The sequence below is a fragment of the Homo sapiens genome, chromosome 9 (assembly GCF_000001405.40).
Source record: "Homo sapiens chromosome 9, GRCh38.p14 Primary Assembly".
Taxonomy (NCBI): domain Eukaryota; kingdom Metazoa; phylum Chordata; class Mammalia; order Primates; family Hominidae; genus Homo; species Homo sapiens.
Window position 1 is genome coordinate 108,565,910 of NC_000009.12, and position 5,490 is coordinate 108,571,399.

At 42.6% G+C, this 5,490-nt stretch overlaps 1 annotated feature.

Moving 5' to 3' along the window:
• Positions 18–137: an enhancer, noted in NCBI's record as "active region_28756". NCBI's record gives its function as "activates an Ori minimal core promoter by ATAC-STARR-seq in GM12878 lymphoblastoid cells {active_cell/tissue: GM12878}" and the evidence as "EXISTENCE:reporter gene assay evidence [ECO:0000049][PMID:35858748]".

The following is a 5,490-nucleotide window of genomic DNA, read 5'->3' on the forward strand; positions in this document are numbered from 1 at the left end:
CCAAGGGCAGGAACCTATTCCCTGTTACTGTTCATACACTGCCATCTAGTGGTTGCTGTGGCTCTTCCGGGGGAGTGTCATAAAGACATAGTTGTGCCCAGCTGTAGCTGAGAGATTTCCTTGTGTGCCAGAACCCCAAGCCATTTTATTATTTGGATGTTCTTTCCTTGCAGAATGTCCCATGATTTCATCTCTTAGGGTATCTACAAGTCTTTGATTTTATTTGGATAGACAGTCCAGGGTGGAAGTGGAACCAGGCCCAAACTGAGAATCAGCAACCTGTATGTGGGCCCTGTGTGTGAGCTCAGCAATGTGCCAGTCATCAGACCCTGGACATGTCATTTAATTTCCTGTGCTTCAGTTTACTCATTTGAAAGATGAGGAGAATAACCCAGCCCTCTACATTACCAGAAAGTTTTTATATCAATGAGATCACTAATGTGTGAATTAGCACATTTGTCACAAACATCCACGATCATGAAAATAAACAAACACACACACACATATTCCTTGTTATGCGGGTCATGACACACGTGGTACATGGACAATGAAAAATAATTCACTGATTAAATACATGGAAGCTAATTTTGTGATTTTGAGTCCTATGATCATGAAGATGACAAAACTACCTTTCAAATGTGTGGCTTCGACTTTCTAACGGAATGGATAGAATTCACATCCCACTGAAAAGAGTTCTAGGTCCACTGGATTAACTGAAAGGTCACTAAAGCAGAGAATTCCTGAGATGGGTCATTAGTGTCTCCCTAACCCAGTCATCATTTTGTGTTTTTTTTTTTTTTAGACAGAGTCTCGCTCTGTCACCCAGGCTGGAGTGTAGTGGCGCGATCTCTGCTCACTGCAACCTCCACCTCCCGGGTTCAAGCGATTCTTCTGCCTCAGCCTCCCGAGTAGCTAGGACTATAGGCGCACATCGCCAGGCCAGGCTAATTTTTGTATTTTTAGTACAGATGGGGTTTTACTATATTGGCCAGACTGGTCTTGAACTCCTGAACTTGTGATCCACCTGCCTCGGCCACCCAAAGTGCTGGGATTACAGGCGTGAGCCACCATGCCCAATCCTCAATTTAAAGAGGCTGTTAGGAGAAGAAGACCTGTTGGTGGATTCTAACTCCTTGTGGAGATTCCAACCAGGAAACCTCCTGGTGCAGTCTCCATCCCGGGAAGACCAGGGGAGGTGGCGGGAAGCAAGTCAGGAAGTTGCAAAGAGAGAAGCCTCCTAGGAGCTTTCTACCTGGGGAAGTGCTGTATGCAGGTTCTACCTGGGGAGAGGGTGTCTTAATAAGGGGCATCTCAGAAGAGTCTTGCAATTTGAAGCCCACACAGACTCAAATCTATTCATTGGTGGGGGGTGTAATTTTCCATCTTTTGCCAATTGCACTTTTTAAAGAGCTAAGGGTCAGCTTACAGAAACTAAAAGATAGGACTTTAAAATTTATTTTAATGCTTTAGTCAGAACAGCAGCAAGTCTCCTACTCTGGTATGTGTAAGAATCACCTGGGAAGCTACTTTCAAATGGGCCCCAAGCAAAGATCCTGACTGCAGTGCTTTGGATGGAGCCCAGGATTTTTAATTTTTAATAGACACTTCCAGGTGATTTCATTCCAGGTGCTCCACAGATGGCACATTAAGAATCCTTGTTAAGAAATCTGATTTCTCCTAGGCTTTAGATGCTATAAAGCCACCAATTTTTATCCAGTGGAGTGGGACAAGATGTCTACTGAGATAGGTTAAAGCTCAGAATGGGGAGCAAATTCCCCTAAACACATGGTCTGGGAGGAAATCCAGTTCAGCAAAGCAGAGAAGCCAACAGTCTTGGCATCAGACAGTAGGTGGAGGTCAGGATCAAAAGACATAACGCAGCAGGTCAGAGGGCATGGCCAAGGTAGGCATGACAAGCATGGGGTGTTAGATGTCACAATTTCTCTGATTCTCACTGCAGGAAGGGAGGTTTCTATTGTCTCTATTTTATCACTAGGGCAGAGGAAGTCTATTGTTTACCCCTCACTGTATCTATCATACCATCACCTAAAGAATGCTGTGGTAGTTTCCAGGGCCCCCTCAGCAGGACATCGGGGCCTTTACACATGCTCTTTCCTTAACTATGCCCTCTCTAGTCTCTTCCCCCATCTTTCTCCCCTGTCTGGGGGACTCATGGCTAAAGACTGAACTCAAACATCTCTTTTCTTGCAAGACCCAAAATCAGAACAAATTATTATTGAGATTTTGAAGCACTTATTTAACAATAACTCATCCCCAGACATGAGCTAGGCATGTTGCAAAGGTATCTCACGTGACACAAAGATTGCACAGCTAGGAATTAATATCTAGAACAGGGATCAGTACACTATGTCCCCCAGGCCAACCGGATGATCACCTGTTTCTGTAAATAAAGTCTTTTTGGAATACAGCCATGCACATTTGTTTACATACTGTCTTTGGCCTTGGCAGGGTTAAGTAGTTACAGAAACTATACAGCTTCCAAAGCTGAATATTTACGATCTGGCTCTTTACATGAAAAGTTTGCTGACTATAGTTTAGGAAGATGGATGACATATCTAAGATAATCCAGTGGGCATTCTGAATCTCTCCTAAATGAATAATTTGAATCCAGGACTCTCTGACTTCTGAACTAATGCACAATCATGTTTTCCCTCTTTCTACCATTGGCATCTTGCTTGTAAGTCATTTAAAGCATTTGTCATCACTGTGCTCATATAGACGCCATTTACTTATTCAACCAATTTTTACTGAGCTCCTACAAATAAGATAGGGCTCATACCCTCCAGGATCTAACTACTGGAGCAATGACCTTCAAACTTTTCAGATTATTAACCCCGATCAGTAAAACAACTTTTGAGCACACAACCACAGTATAGGCATATTTATTAGTCACCAAATATACATGTTTACTATTGTAACAACATATTAGGCACATTAAAAAATATTCATGTAATTGAGATGAGAGTTCTATCCTATTCTTCCAACATCCAATTTTGGAAACCACTAGACTAGAGGATTTATAGGATGTGGTGGAAGGTGCTAAGGAGAAAGGTGAACATGGCACCTCTGAGACTTAGAGAGAAGAGAGGAATCAAATGTGGGAAGGGCTGTGAGAGGAAGTTTCAAAGGAGGGGCATTTGACCTGAGTCTTTGGAGATGAGCAGGCGATGATCAGGCAAAAAAAAAAAAAAAAAGGCGTGTGGAAGGGCATTCTAAACAGGGGAACCAGCTTGTCCAAGACACAGAGGTGAAAGTGTGCTGTCTTCAGATAATGGGGCTTTGGTGTCTATAAAAGGAGGCTAGAGGAAGATGAACTGGGTCAATGGGACTAGAACCAGTCTCTGCACAGCAGGGCCACGTGTTCCAGACTAAATCTGAAGTTTCTCCTGAAAGCAAAGAAGAGATATTTAAGAAGAGGATTGGCATTATGATGTTAGAGATCTCTCTGGAAACTGGGCGAAGGAAGGATTAGAGAGACTGCCAGCAGAAAGGTTAGTCCACAGCATTTCAGAATTTATTGAACCCAGGTTTGTTCCATTTCTATAATCAGGGCTTTCTTTTAATTGAGCACTCCATCAAAGTAATGGTGGTCATGTTCATCTTACTACTCTCCCCTTCTGCACCCAGCATTGAGCTGATAAATAGAAGCTAACGACTATTGGTTGGATCATATTGAAATGACACTTTGTCACATTTGCAAGAATGAGACTTCCCAGGGTGAGATCTTTGCTGCCTCTGTAAAACCACCATGGCCCCAGGTCTGTGCCTGAGATGGGGAGATAAAAGGACTTGAGGAGGCATGACTCCACACTATAGGAGCACCGGCCACACAGAAGGCCAGCAGCTGGGCTGACTCGGCACCTGGAGAAACTGCTGAGGATGTGTGTTAGACCAGCCTGGCCAAGTCCTCATCCCGGGCTGTGACTCACTGAATCAGTGGATGATGGTCTTGCCCTGGGCAGTATTGGGAGGCCAGCTGCTGACTAGGGCTCTATTGTGAGGCAACTGGTCTGGCACATGTGTAAAGACTGATGTTGGGTGCCTCCTGCCAGGGAAGTCAGAAGGAGCCCCCAGCAGCTCTGTGCTGTCAGAAGCAGAAAATCAGATGTCCACATCCTCACCCTCCTTGTCTTTCTAGCTGAGCACTGAAGAGCAGAGTTTGCCAAGGGCCACAGAAAATGAGCTGCTCTAGTAGGAGACATCAGGCTTGAACTAAAAACCACCCCAACAGCTTGATCTAAGAGTACCATTCGGGGACAAAAGGAAACCTGAGAGTAAAAAGAGAAAGCAAGCAAACAAACAATATAACCACATATGCATAACCCTAGATAATCCACCTCCAAGGTTCACAGAAAGCTAGCCGGTAGTGTAGTAAAAACAAGAGTAAGGTTTTGCAGAGGAAATCCTTCACATACTAGACACCAGGAATATGATTTCACATACAGTTTAATATAATTCATCATATTAATAGATCAAAAAAGAAAAATCATGTGCTCATCCCTATAAACACTGGAGAGGTGTTTGGAAAATCCAAAACCCAAGAAAACTATTTTTAAAATAAGAATATGCCAGGTGTGGTGGTACATGCCTGTAATCACTTTGGGAGGCGGAAACACGCAGATCACTTGAGCTCAGGAGTTCAAGACCAGCCTCAACAACATGGTAAAACCCAACGTCTACAAAAAATACAAAAATTAGCCAGGTGTGGTAGTACGTATCTGTAGTCCCAGCTACTCAGGTGGCTGAGGTGAGAGGATCACTTGAGTCCAGGAATGGAGGCCGCAGTGAGCTGTGATCACACCACCACACTCCAGCCTGGGTAATAGAGCGAGACTTAGTCTCAAAAAAACAACAAAAAATAAATAAATAAAAATGCATACTTATTCAATGGTACAAAGGCTATATCCCAACCTAAAATGCAGCATCATACTTTTCAGGAAAACAGAAGAAGCATTTCCATCAATGTCAGAAATAGGACAAGGTAGTTCTTTACCATCATTAGTATTTACACTTATTTTGGAGCTATTTGCCAGCACAATAGCTAAGATATAGAAATAATAGATGTTAAGAAATAAAAAAGAGGCAATAAATTCATTAACACTTGCAGATAATATCACTATTTGCTTAGACAATCCAAGGTAAACAATAAGCTTAAACCTCAGGATTTATAAATTCTTGAGTTTTTGGCGGTGGCATCAGAGAAATGAAAATAATCAAAAATATTTCCCCTGGAAAACATCGTGAACTCTCCCTGTTGATATTAAATGCACTAATCATGCCAAAGCGAATAGCATTGAAACAGAAATTTCAGTCTCAACACCACCATGACGTTTCATGTAAGCACCAAAGAAATACCCCTCCCCACAAAAAGAAAAGAAAATTCAAGAAAAGCAATTGACAAATGTTTAGAAACGATGTGAAAATTCTTCAGGTGGATGAATACAAAATTAATATACTGAAACCAATGAC